Raw genomic sequence first — 14,342 nt, 5'->3', positions numbered from 1 at the left:
GCTCTCAGCAGGAGCTACACTGCACTCAACCACTACACTGCCTCTTTTTTTTTTTGAGATGGAGTCTCATTCTGTCGCCCAGGCTGGAGTGCAGTGACACGCTCTCAGCTCACTGCAACCTCCGCGTCCCAAGTTCAAGTGATTCTCCTGCCTCAACCTCCTGAGTAGCTGGGATTACAGGCGCGTGCCACCACGCCCCACTGATTTTTTTGTATTTTTAGTAGAGACGGGGTTTCACCATGTTGGCCAGCCTGGTCTTGAACTCCTAACCTCAAGTAATCCACCCACCCCAGCCTCCCAAAGTGCTAGGATTACAGCATGAACCACCACCACACCCAGCCAACACTACATTGCCTCTTAAGGACGCAGGCTGTGCACCCAGAATGACAAAGCCTCCTCTACACTCCCTGGCTGCAAGACCTGCAGAGAGCTGTTTACCTCCATTCCCCCATCTGTTAACTAGAGCTAATAACAGGGGTTATAGTCAATCCTCATTATTTGCAAATTCACCTCTTGCTAAAATTTATTTATAACCGCCAAATCCATACTCAAGGTTCTTTCATGATCACTCACGGACATGTACGGAGTGGCAAAATATTTGAGTCAGCCAACATGTGTTCCCAGCTGAGGATGAACAAAACCATGTTCTACCTTCAGACTTCAGCTCTCATGCTGTAAACAAGCATTCTCTCTGTGGTATATTAGCAGCATGCTTTTTCCCATTTTTCTGCTTTTTGAGGGTGACGTTGCTGTAAAATGGTCCCATAGGGTAATGGTGAAGTGCTATCTGGTGTTCCTAAGTGCAAGGAGTCCGAGATGTGTCATGCGTGTGTTATATAAGCTTTGATCAGGCACGAGTTGGAGTGCTGTTGGCAGTGAGTTAGATGTTAATGAGTCAACAATATATATTAAGGTGTCTTTAAACAGAAACACACACAGAATAAGCTTACGGGTTGATCAGTGGATGAAAATGCTGTGACCAAAGGCTCACAGGAACCCAACTTTGTATTTCACCTAGGAACAATGGTTCAGTGTTTATTAATTCAGTGTTTGCAGTGACTTTACAGAACATAACTACTGTGAATGACAAGAAGTGACAGGCCGGGTGCGGTGGCTCACGCCTGTAATTACAGCACTTTGGGAGGCCCAGGTGGGTGGATCACCTGAGGTCAGGAGTTCAAGACCGGCCTGGCCAACGTGGTGAAACCCCATCTCTACTAAAAATGCAAAAATTAGCCAGGAGTGGTGGTGCATGCCTGTAGTCCCAACTACTCAGGAGGCTGAGGCATGAGAATCACCTGACCCTGGGAGGCGGAGGTTGCGGTGAGCCGAGATCATGCCACTGCACTCCAGTGTGGATGACGGAGTGAGACTCTGTTTTGAAAAAAAGGAAAAAAAAAAAAAGAAGTGACTGCACCTCAGAGTACTGTCAGTCTTAAATAAGCTGATACCACTAAGGCACTTAGGATACTGCTTTGACACATACTAAGTGTGATGTAGCCATTCTCCATTACCATTTACACAGATTTTTAGCTTAAAGACTGAAATGAAATCAGTGAGAACATGGGGACTCACACAGAACAACTAACTTTCCTGAGTTGAGTGGCCCAGACAAATGCACAGAAAGAGAGTTTTGACAGTGCGGCATGCCATTGGTGATGAGCTCAGAGTGAATAAGTGGCTTCAGGTTGAGGCCGACTTTTGGGAACACCCATGGGCTTTACCTGCTCAGAATCTACTCTTGGGGAGTCTTATATGGGATTGTAGAGGGGTCAACAAGTCAGAGATGGTCGTGTGACTCAAGGCAGGACAATCAGAAGCTCCTTCCCCAGACTTAGCACCTTTTTAAGAAAAGATTCTCTCTATTCTCTCTAAAATTTAGCATTTGTTTTTTAAGAGACAGGGTCTCCCTCTGCTGCCCAGGCTGGGGTGCAGCAGTGCCATCATAGCTCACTGCAGTCTTGAGCTCCTGGGCTTAAGTGATCCTTCTGCCTCAGCCTCCACATAGCTGGGACTACAGGCACTGTGCCTGGCTACTGTTTTTTTTTAAGGACAGGGTCTCACTATGTTACCCAGGTGGGAAATTTGCATCTTTTACAGAGTTATTCACCCCATCTCTGGTGTCCTGAAGGAAACAGTCATTAGTCCCTGCTTCCTAGATCCCTAGAATTCATTTGGTTTCAGGACTTTCTAAAGCCTGGTTCTTCATCTTTTCCTTCACATCTCTGTCCATCCCTCCCCCCCCATATCCTTCTAACAAATTCTTTTTTGCTTACATTAATCAGAGTTCATTTATGTTACTTGCAACCAAAGGATTCTAACTAAAGGATTTTCAAAGGATATGTTTCCTTCATCCACCCTTCCCTGTCACTTAGGTCTCAGAAAAAAAGAAAATTCCAGTGTTAACCACTTTCTCCAGCTGAACATTGTTTTGAGTAGTGGTATTTTGAAGGGACAGAGCAGAACAAATACATCAGTGAAGCACTCAGATGTCCTTAAATTAGTTCAACTCTTCTGGCCCAGATGAATTGCATTCCAGGGCTCCAAGAGATCTCACCAGTGAGATCACCAAACCACACTGCCTAGGATCCCAGAAGAATCCTGGAGAAAGAGAAACGCAGAGAGGTACGCAAATGTCATTTTTTTTTTTCAAAAAGAAAAAGAAACCGTGGCTTCTGCAGACAAAAGAACCAGCATAAGGAGATGGAGACATATCGGACTAACCCCATTTCCTTTTTAGTGTGTGTTTTGTTTTGTCCTTGGACAGTTGCTAATCTGGTGGACGGGGGAAGTGTGATGTGGAATATATCCCTGGAGTTTAACAAAGCATTCCTCAATGTTGCCTGTGATAGTCTTTTGGGAATGACGGAAAATATGCTGTCTTCTCAGAGTTTGGTGGATTAGTGACAAGTTAAACTTCCACAGCCACATGGTACTACTTAATACAATTTGTCTTTGTGGCACTTACAAGTAAAATTACGTATATAATTGTTCCATATCTGGCTTCCCTGGTAGGCTGTGGGATCTGTGAGTGAGTGGTTGGAATCTGTCTTGGTCACCATTATATCCCACACCTCGCATTGTGCAGAGCACATAGACAGGGGTCCAAAAAATGACTGCATGCGTGTGTAAATGAGTTGATCAATCAATGAATATATGTCAACCTTAAAGGGACCTCTAAAAGAGTGGCAAACATAAACGCCTATGGGGCCCGGCCAGTCACATAAAATGAGGCATATAGCATGACTAGGGGAGCCCATATCCACCCCAAAAAGTCAGCTACTTCTCAGTTCTAGCCCTGGTGCCATGAAGGAATGCAGACTTGGGCTGTCAGTTACGACACTTTTTCAAAAGATACCTAATACTGGTATTTCGTTATGAAATATCCTACTTTTAAATATGGGTCATGCATATATATATATGATATACACACATATATGTGTGATATACACACATATATGTGTGATATACATACATATATGTGTGATATACATACATATATATGTGTGATATACATACATATATATGTGTGATATACATACATATATGTGTGTGATATACATACATATATATGTGTGATATACATACATATATGTGTGATATACATACATATATGTGTGTGATATACATACATATGTGTGTGATATACATATGTGTTTGATATACACATGTGTGTGATATACATACATATGTGTGTGATATACACATATGTGTGTGATATACATCATATATATATATATATATATATATATCTTTTTAGTTGAAGCAAAACATGTCTAGGAAGGGAAATTCAATCCTTGGACACCCGCTGGTAAGCTCTGCTAAAAAGGGTCCCTGGGTCTTCCTCCTCAGTCTTGTCTCATCCAGTATTTTTTTTATCATAAGACACAGAGAGGCTGGGCATGGTGGTTCACGCTTGTAATCCCAGCACTTTGGGAGACTGAGCTGGGAGGATTACTTGAGCTCAGGAGTTCAAGACCAGCCTGGGCAACATAGTGAGACCTCATCTCTACTAAAATTCAAAAAAATTAGCCAGGTGTGGTGGCACGTGCTTGTAGTCCCAACCACTTGTGGGGGCTGAGGCAGGAGGATCGCTTAAGCCCAGGAAGTCGAGGTTGCATTGAGTCCTGATCGTGCTACCACACTCCAGCCTGGGCAACAGAGCAAGACCCCGTCTCAAAAAAAAAAAAAAAAAGGACATAGAGAAAGGATCAAATGAGTTGAATTCAAAAACAACACATGGCTGAAAAGATGGGTGATCAGGCTGGAAGACAGATGTAGGACCTTAAACATAAGTAACAGAATGGATTTAACATGAGCAAGTATTAAGGTCCAGAAACCCAATTTACAAGTCCAGGAACACAAGTTAGATTAAGAGGTTTTCAGATTAAGTATTTGTGAATCACTTAAGGATTTCATCAGATGAAAAGCTCAGTGAGTCAGCAGTCTGAGAGGGCTGCCAAAATAGTTGATGATTTTAGATTAATTGAAGTGCATTATCTACATCAGTGATTACACATTGGTGGCCCACATTTTGTTTGGCCTGCAAGTTGGTTTTTAGTTTTTTAAAAATAATGAACTTACCAACACTTCACAATTAGGAAAGCTCCCATAAATATACTCATTTCCTGCCTCTCTTGGGGCAAAACAAAAAAAAAAAAAAAGAGAGAAGAATCTGGTGATGCTAGGCCTGTGTGGGTACACCAAAAAATAAGTATGTTTCAAAATATTACATACTTATTTGTATGCTTATAAAAACTCTTAAGGTTTCATTTACAGGCATTTCTTATATCTAGGACGTTTCACACATCTAAGACAGTTGCCTGGCCCCTGTAGGAATTTGAATTTGTAACCCCAAATCTAGAACATGAGATGTGATGGTTCATCTCTACTCAGTGATAGGCAGAATCTAGCTGACACGTTACATGGGATTTCAGAATTTGTGTTTTATAAGGCACACGGACTAGGTGGAAGTTTGTGGACAGGTGAAAGAACTTTTAGCTCATCCATAGAACAAAATCCTACGCTGCCGTTTTTTCAAATGTCTATCTCTTCTGACACGGAAAGACAGACATTGTTAATGAAATCAGAAAGCTGTACAACTGAATATTTAGCCTAATACTATTTTAGTAAATACATGTGTACGTGGGTGTAGGTGTGTATTTTTTATAAGCATAGACAAGCAATTTTCCCTTCCAACTTTGAAATTCAAGGGTTCTGTGAGATTTCCACATTCTTGACAGCCAAATATAAGATCGGGAAGTGACCGAGTGATTTACAGAGGCAGGAGGCAAGAATCTAGTATCATTAGAGGTAAATGTGCTAAAGGGTATTTTAAAAATAATAATTTTCATGAGACTGAGTAGGAGTGTATATTTGAAAACCTTGAAAAGCAGGATGAAGAGTGGGACCCAGAAGCAGATATACTGACAGTGGCTAATTCTAGCTGACATCTCTTAAGGTCTCAGCTCATGCCTGGCAGACTTTCCTGAAACTGCTCCTCTCACCTGCAAGGGTGGAGCCCAGCTATAGCATCTTCCATGTCCCTATCCACTGGCTTCTGACTCAATGAAGGGCAATCAGATTATCCCAGAAGTTTGGAATTAGACTTAAGAAATGCTATCTGTCCCAGTTGGGAAGTAAGTGTGAAGTATGGCCAGAAAGCACATGGTTGACCCATTGCAAACACAGGCCAAGAAAGACCATCAACAGAAAAAGGAGAAAGTCAGACCTGCAGGAACCAAAGAAGAACCAGAAAACCCATGGTCCAAAAACAAAGAGAAGCTGAAATCGCACAGCTGCCTGCATTCCCGATAAGTCTTCCATTTTTCTTTTTTTCTTTTTTCTCTCTTTTTTTTTTTTGACAGAGTTTCACTCCATCGCCCAGGCTGGAGTGCAATGGCACGATTTCGGCTCACTGCAACCTCCACCTCCCAGGCTCAAGCAATTCTCCTGCCTCAGTCTCCTCCCAAGTAGCTGGGATTACAGGCGCCCACCACCACACTCAGCTAACTTTTTTTTTCTTTTTTTTTTTTTTTTTTTTGTGTGTGTGTGTGTGTGTGTTTTTAGTAGAGACGGGGTTTAGCCACGTTGGCCAGCCTGGTCTTGGACTCCTGACCTCAGTTGATCCACCCACCTCGACCTCCCAAAATGCTGGGATTACAGGCATCCGCTACCACACCCAGCTAATTTTTTTTTTATTTTTTATTTTATTTTTAGTAGAGTCGGGGTTTCACCATGTTGGTCAGGCTGGTCTTGAACTCCTAACCTCAGATGATCTGCCCGCCTCGACCTCCCAAAGTGCTGGGATTACAGGCATGAGACACCACGCCGGGCCAAGTCTTCCGTTTTTCTAACCAGTTGCTCCTGAAGCCCAGCTGAAGTTCCTGCTCTTCAATCACACATGATAACCTCCAATAATAATAATAATAATAATGGCAGCAGGAGCTCCTACTCAGAGATGCTCACCATCTGCTCAGCAATCAGTGCTTTCCATACACAAAATTTAGTTTTCCTGACAACCCTGTGAGGTAGTTCATATTTTTACACTTTGCTCTATTTTTGTAGGTGAAAAACTGAGGCACAAAGAGGTTAAGTAACTTCCCAAAAGTGACCCAACTAGGAAGTGGCAGAGCCAGAATCTGAACCCAAACAGGATACCTCCAGAGACCTTATATTTAACTTTTATTTATTAATTTTTTCTTGTTTTTTAGATAAAGGGTCTTGCTCTGTCATCCAGGCTGGAGTGCAGTGGCACAATCATAGTTCACTGCAGCTTCCAACTCCTGAGCTCAAGCGATCCTCCCACCACAGCCCCCCGAGTAGGTAGGACTACAGGTGCACACGACCGCACCAGCTAATATTTTTAAAAATTTTTTGTAAAGACGAAGTCTTGCTATGTTGCCCAGACTGACATTTAACTATTAACTATTCCACTTCTTGGTCTAAGTTGGCCTAAGTGAATTTCCACAACTTGTGACTCCAACAGAGAGACATGGAGAAGCCACATGGACTCAGGGAAAAGCAGCCACCTGGAAGTGCTGTAACAGGAACGCTGCCAGTTCTTCCTGCTAAGTTGGCCAGCAAGAGACCATTTCTTGGAACTGGGGTGGCTGCTGGCACCAAGGCCTGCAGTCACAAGAAGAGCCGTGGCAAAGCCACTCAGGCCTTGATGTAGCATGTTCTTGACAATTATGTGTGTTGAGCACCCCCTGAGTGCCAGCCACCATTCTGGGAGCTGGAGAAGTAACAGAGAACAAGACAGGCAAGGACCCCGCTCTCCCAAAGCTTACATTCTAGAAAAGGAAGTCAAACTAATATTTTAAACAGTTACAGATGCTATGAAAAGATTTAAAAAAAAAAAAAAAAAAAAAACCTGTATAACTTTGGGAGGCTGAGAGGCTGAGTTGGGCAGATTGCCTGAGGTCAGGAGTTCGAAACCAGCCAGACCAACATGATGAAACCCTGTCTCTACTAAAAATACAAAAATTAGCCAGGCATGGTGGCACATGCCTGTAATCACAACTACTCGGGTGGCTGAAACCAGAGAATCACCTGAACCCAGGAGGCACAGGTTGCAGTGAGCCGAGATTGTGCCCCTGCACTTCATCCTGGGCAACACAGTGAGACTCCGTCTCAAAAAAAAAGAAAAGATAAAAAAAACAAGGTGATGGGATTAGAGAATGCTGGAAGGGTAGTCAGGGAAGGCTCAAAGAGGTGATACTGGAGCTAAAATGAAAATGATGGGAAGGATCCGACTAATGCCATGATCCTGGGGAAGAGAGACAGAGGGGGACAGGGGCAGGAACGAGCTTAGAGAAGTCAAAGAAGAGAGAGAAGGCAGAGTGCCTGGAGCACACATTCATTCCACGGTCTCTGCTGGGCAGGCAAATCCTTCACGGGCCAGGCATGTGGAGAGAAAGATGACTATGATTCAGCCCATTGGCTCATATAACTGACAGGCTGGTGAAGGAGCCAGCATGGCAGGCTGCACTTGACCACTCTTCATTCCTCCCTAGAGCCACACCCTTGCTATGTGACTCTCTCCATAAGAGATACAGCCCATCCCCCATGTCTTGAATCTGAGAAGGCTTGGGACTTGTTTAGGGCCCGTATGCAGAATGCAGTGGAAGAGACGGTGCAGCAGTTCCAAAGCTCATCCTGCAGTACCGTTGTGTTCTCAGACCCTTTGAACTGGGCCCATCTGCCCTGTGAACAAGCCCAAGTGGCCTGCTGGAAAAGGAGACCCACGGGGTCCAGGCCCCCTATTGCTCCAGCTAACACACATCTAAGTGCCAGATGTGCAAGTGAAGCCATCCTAGACCAATCAGGCCCCAGATAACCTGCTAGCTGACCAAAGACACACGAGCAAGCCCAGCCGAGATCAACAGCATTGCCCAGCTGATCTGTAGACTAGAGTGCAGTTTAGAGGTAGTTTGTTATAAAGAAGAAGCAAATTCATACACCAGGGTGGATGCCTGAGAAAGTGTGGGAACACAGTCAGAAACAGCTTGCTTTGTGGCTGTACCTGACAGCCCTGCCAGGGTCCTGATCAACCTACGTGCAGGTAGGTCCTGATGTGGCCCCAGGCTGATGCCCTGAAGCAGCTACCACTCTGGCATGCCACAAGAAAGTGAAGCACCTAATGGCTTCGTTTAAAAGTCCCAAGTGAGCAGTTAGAAGGAAACTTTGCTTTAGGATGTTGCCTCTGGAATCAAACAGACCTGACTTGAAGCCCCAATTCTGCCTCTTTCTAGCTAGGATAAGTTGTTTAGCCTCTCCAAGCCTCTGTTTCCTTATCTGACAATAGATTAAATAACTAAAGTATCTTGAAGAGTACCTGGCACATACCACATGCTATATACATGTTTCCAGTTATTATACATGAACCAAAGAAAGGGACACCCCCCATTGTAATGAACATATCACTCATTGGTGATATCTGAAAGAATTTTATATGGAATACAGATGACACTCATCACACCAAGCCATACTAGGAAGAAATTGTTCTTCTGATTCTTTTTTAATCTTCCTGATTTATCAAAGGAGAAAGTATCAGTTTGGTGCTTGTATGTTTTGAACACCATTCTAATATTTGCCAAACTCCTTTTTGGAACATAGAGAGACGATATTTCAAAATCAGATTCTTGTCTGCCAACAGTACCTAGCTAGAACTTCATAATATTGTTTAAATTACCCTTTTTTTTTTTTTCAGATGGAGTCTCACTCTGTCGCCCAGGCTAGAGTGCAATGGCGCGATCTCGGCTCACCGCAACCTCCGCCTCCCAGGTTTAAGCGATTCTCCTGCTTCAGCCTCCTGAGTAGCTGGGATTACAGGCCTCTGCCAGCATGCCTGGCTAATTTTTGTATTTTTAGTAGAGATGGAGTGTCACCATGTTGGTCAGGCTGGTCTCAAACTCCTGACCCCAGGTGATCCGCCCACCTCAGCCTCCCAAAGTGCTGGGATTACAGGCGTGAGCCACTGCTTATAGTTATGAATTATTTGTGATGACACTGTTTTTCTATTTATACGATGATAAAATTTCCTTCAAAATAAATGGGTTGAAATGAAAAAACAGACTCTTTAAAGAAAAATATTATTTCCTGTTCTATATCTTTGGTAGAAAAAGATTTATTTAAAAGAAAAAAGGACAGACAGCACACAGACACAGAAAATATGATGTAAGTTAGAATGGAATATTAGGGAAGACTGAAATAAGAAAAAGACCATGGATAGGATTGGGAGTTCGACCTGGCTCAAGCTCCAGCTTAGTCAAGTTACTGGCTATATGACTGTATTAGTCAGCTTTTGGTAGGTAAGTGCAATAATAAGCAACCCCAAAATTCTAGTGACTTACAATATTCGAAGTTTAGCTCTTACTCGTGCTACGTGTCACTGCAGTTGTCTGTGGCTCTGTGATTCTACTTCCTGTGTCTTTTCCATCCCAGGACGCAGCTGAGGCAACAGCCCTTTCTTGGTCTTGTGGCAGAGGTGGGAAGAACAATGGCTAAACCACACAATAGCTTCTCAAAGCCTCTGTTTAAATGTAGAGTAGATTGTGTCTGCTCACGTTCCATTGGCCAATGCTCCACATCAGTGGGAAGGAAAGTGTGTCCCTTCTGCAAGTAGACATGTATGTCACATAGCCATGTGTGAAATGTATAATCCTTGTATGAGGTGGGAGCAAATAATTGAGACAACAACACAATCCACCACAGGGACCCTGGGCAAGTCGCCTCACTTCTATTTCGGCATCTGTGAAATGGGTCAAGCTCAATACACAGGCATTCTCTCTCCCTTTCTTATTTTCTGAGATTCATTCAGGGAAGCTCAAATCAACATTAGAAAGTTCTTGGGAGACCAGCTGTACTGAAAAGTTTGATTCAAGATTGTAATCAGCCAAAAACAAACCCAAGTGGACCTGATGCTTCGTGTGAGATGGGTACCCTTGGCAGCCGGCCCCAGTCTCCATCCCCACAAGCCATTCATGTCACCACTTTATAAAAATCTTATTAGACAAACTCTTACCAGTTCTGAAACTAAAGAGAAAATGGAGGGGAAATGGTTCTATTAATTGATATCAAGACATTAATGTGGTGATTAAGAGCATGCGTTTTGTTATTTAAATCATGGCTCTGCCATTTACTTGTTACATCACCTTGAGCAAGTCAAATAACTGAGCCTCAGGTTATTTATCCATAAAATGCAGACAATCAATTATGTAACTGATAGGTCATTGTGAAAATCAAATAAGATAATTAATGTGTATAACTTATCATCTGCCTGCCCCAAATAAATGCTCAATAAATAGAAATTCTTACTAATGCCAGTACATGTCCCAGAGAATAAAAGTTCAAGTATTTCAAATTGACATTTGGCACTCAGAATAGGGAAGTCCTTGCTTATGCCAGCTGTCTAAGTCTGAGTTTTATTTTTTGCTTCCCATTCTGCAAAACGGGTCAGTGCACTGCTCCCTGGAAATCCCACAGGGATGGCCTGACCTTGCCTCTATTTGTAAAGGATTTTCAATATTTTTTGCAGGACCTGAAGAAATATAAAGTGCAGGGGCCATTTCTGAAAGTGATAAATGGATGTGGACCATGGCTACATTGGTTTTTTCAGCCTTCAGTTCACAAGGATAGGTCAGCAAAAGGCTGAGGTCAGTGTATAAGGAGATCTTCAGAAAACAAATCCGTAGGGGAAGATCTACATCTACCATTCTTTGGAGCCAGATCTCCCCTGTTTTATGTGTGATGGATGCTTTTAGCAACCAAGTTTATTCCAACTCCCAGCTGCAGGACTTGTCGCCAATTACTTGGAAAGAGATGAATAATTAAAGACTTCTCTCTAGAGGGACCAAGCAGAAGTGTTTGGCTAACAGGGAAAAGTTAGCAATAATAATCTCCCTGTGGCTCACAGCAGTTTGGTCTACTTCTAAGTCTGCTCAGAGATTCAAAGTCTACCCAAGATTGCACAAGTTGTGACCCTGAGCCTCAGTCTTCACATCCTTAAAGTGGGAATAATGAACTGTTTGGAAACACTTTGTTAGGCTTCAAGAGCTAAACCAATAATAAGGGAGTCTGTCATTCCCTTATGGCACTAAAGTGACACAGGACCCAGGACTTGATGAAAATAGACAACACAAACACAAACAACGAGCAAAGGATCAGTGTCTAGTAGATTGAAATAAAAATTATTACAAATCAATATGAAATTATAAAAAAGTGGGGAGGGAGACATTCATAGAAGATGAAATACAATTGTCCAATAAATATGTAAAAAGATGTTCAGTCTCACTAGTAAGAAGAGGTGGCTGGGAGTAGCGGCTCACGCCTGTAATCCCAGCACTTTGGGAGGCCGAGGCCGGTGGATCACCTGAGGTCAGGAGTTCAAGACCCACCTGGCCAACATGGCGAAACCCCGTCTCTACTAAAAATACAAAAAAAATCAGCCAGGTGAGGTGGCAGTAATCCCAGCTACTAAGGAGGCTAAGGCAGGAGAATCGCTTGAACCTGGGAGGCGGAGGTTGCAGTGAGCTGAGATCATGCCACGGCATTCCAGCCTGGGCGACAGAGTGAGACTCGGAAAGTAAGAAAGGAAAGAAAGGAAAGGAAATGAAGAAAGAAAAGAAAGAAAGAAAGAGAAAGAAAGAAAGAGAAAGAAAGAAAGAGAGAGAGAGAGAAGGAAGGAAGGAAGGAAGGAAGGAAGGAAGGAAGGAAGGAAGGAAGGAAGGAAGGGAAGGAAGGGAAGGAAGGGAAGGAAGGGAAGGAAGGGAAGGAAGAAAGGAAGGGGAAGGGAAGGGAAGAGAAGAGAAGAGAAGGGGACAGGAAAGGATCATTAAAATTAAATGCCATTTTTCTCCCATCAGATTGGCAAAAGTGTTAAGGCCTGATAATATCATGGTCTGGGAAAGATGCAGTGAGACGGAAACACACACTGCTGGTGGGAGTATACAGTGGTCCAGCTATTCTGGAGAACATTTGGCAAAACCTATTAAAAGCTGAATCGTGTATACCCCAGGGCTAAGCCATTATACTTCCGAGGAACACGAGAAACACTTGCATATTGATGAGATGTGTAGAAAGATGCTCATTGCCATGCTGTTTGTAATAGACACAACCCCTCCAAAAAAGAATCTAAATGTTCATCAACAGGGAAGTGGCCATATGCATGGGAGAAAGTTCAGACTTTGGAATGCTACAGAGTTCTATAAGAGACACCAAATTTACAAACAATAGGCTTCTGGGGAAGGTAGAGGGGACTAAATTGAGACGTCAAAAGAGTTAAAAGGTCTTCAATCTTATCTATGTTGTGTAATTTATCCTGATGAGATTGTACTTATGCATTTCTTATGAACTTAAATTTTTTAACACAGCAGGACAATGTCACTATATCATCTATGCTGGGTCACAAAATCTAGCTGACTCCAGAATCAGCAGAAGATACGTGTATGGGGATAAACATGGCCATAATGATTACCCCATGACTGAGGTTTCTACCTCCCCTGATGTTTTCTCTTTACTCTCAGAAAGAAACAGTCAACCAAGGCACACTTGGCTTTTGCCAGTCTAGTAACCTAGAGACCTAAAGGATTAATCCCTTCCCAGGGGCGATAATTAACATTTTCTAATGAAGGCAATTTACAATCAATCAAGTTAACAACTGCTGTTCTTATCCTACTTTCTTTCACTTAGGTGTGAAAAGACAGGAAGTACTTGAAGGGTGGGGTAGACTCAAAGGATAGAATCCCACAGGATCCCATAGAGCCCGGGGGCAATTTGACCAGGAAGGGGTTCTGAACTCCAGAAGAGGAGGATGGAGAGTGGAAACACAAAGACTAAAAGGCAGGCTCTAGCATGACATCCAGAGAGAGGCCTCCCTCTTCTGGGCTTAAGCCTACTCTCCCAGAACCTTCACTCAGCTCCTTGCATCCCAAAGGGCAGAGTCTAGGCTAAGCATAAAGGATCCAATCTATGCAATGGAGGGAAGTAAGTGTCCAACACAGAGGCACCTGATGAAATACAGCGACCAGCCCAAGAAGAGCCCCTTGGGGCTCTGTTTCTTACATTAGGAAATCTCAATTTCAGCCTGCACAACATGGCAAAACCCCATTTCTACAAAGATAGATATATATTTATATATAAAAATTTAAATATACATATACACACACACACACACACACACACACACACACACACACACACACACACACACATATATATATATATATATATATATATATATATATATATATATATATATATATGCCGGGCATTGTTGTACATGCCTGTAGTTCCAGCTGCCCTGGAGGCTGAGGTGGGAGGATCACCTGAGCCCAGGAGGTCAGGGTTGCAGTGAGGTGTGATTGTGCTACTGTACCTCAGTCTGAGTGACAGAATGAGATCCTGTCCAAAAAACAAACAAACAAACAAAAAACCACACACACACACACACACACACACACACAAACAAAACAGAAAATAAATCTTGATTTCTATTTCTTCCTCGTTCAATCTTGTGAGGTTGTGTGCAAAGGAAATTTACCCATTTCCTCTAGGTTTTCTAACTTGTGTGCATAGAGGTGTTCATAGTCATCCCTGAGGATCTCCTGTGTTTCTGTGGGATCAGTCATAATGTCAGCTTGGTCATTTCTGATTGTGCTTATTTGGATTGTGTCCTTTGCAGCAACATGGATGCAGCTGGAGGCCATTATCCTAAGCAAATTAATGCAGAAACAGAAAACCAAATACCACATGTTCTCACTTCGAAGTGGGAACTAAACATTGGGTACACAGGGGCATAAAGATGGAAACAACCGACACTAGGGACCCCAAGAGGGAGA

General features: G+C 43.0%; 1 protein-coding gene across 3 annotated transcripts in view, besides 1 other annotated feature; it reads right to left on the bottom strand.

Moving 5' to 3' along the window:
- PRKCB (protein kinase C beta) overlaps window positions 1–14,342 on the bottom strand; it is a 384,629-nt gene that overhangs the window by 341,379 nt on the left and 28,908 nt on the right. The window lies entirely within an intron of this gene.
- Window positions 12,827–13,473: an enhancer, noted in NCBI's record as "OCT4-NANOG hESC enhancer chr16:23877081-23877727 (GRCh37/hg19 assembly coordinates)". NCBI's record gives its function as "activates a minimal SCP1, AML or CMV promoter by ChIP-STARR-seq in naive H9 embryonic stem cells {active_cell/tissue: H9 hESC(naive)}" and the evidence as "EXISTENCE:reporter gene assay evidence [ECO:0000049][PMID:30033119]".

Source organism: Homo sapiens, chromosome 16 (genome assembly GCF_000001405.40).
Source record: "Homo sapiens chromosome 16, GRCh38.p14 Primary Assembly".
NCBI classification, from domain to species: domain Eukaryota; kingdom Metazoa; phylum Chordata; class Mammalia; order Primates; family Hominidae; genus Homo; species Homo sapiens.
Note: the sequence above shows the minus strand (reverse complement) of the source record. Positions and strands in the feature narration are given on the sequence as shown.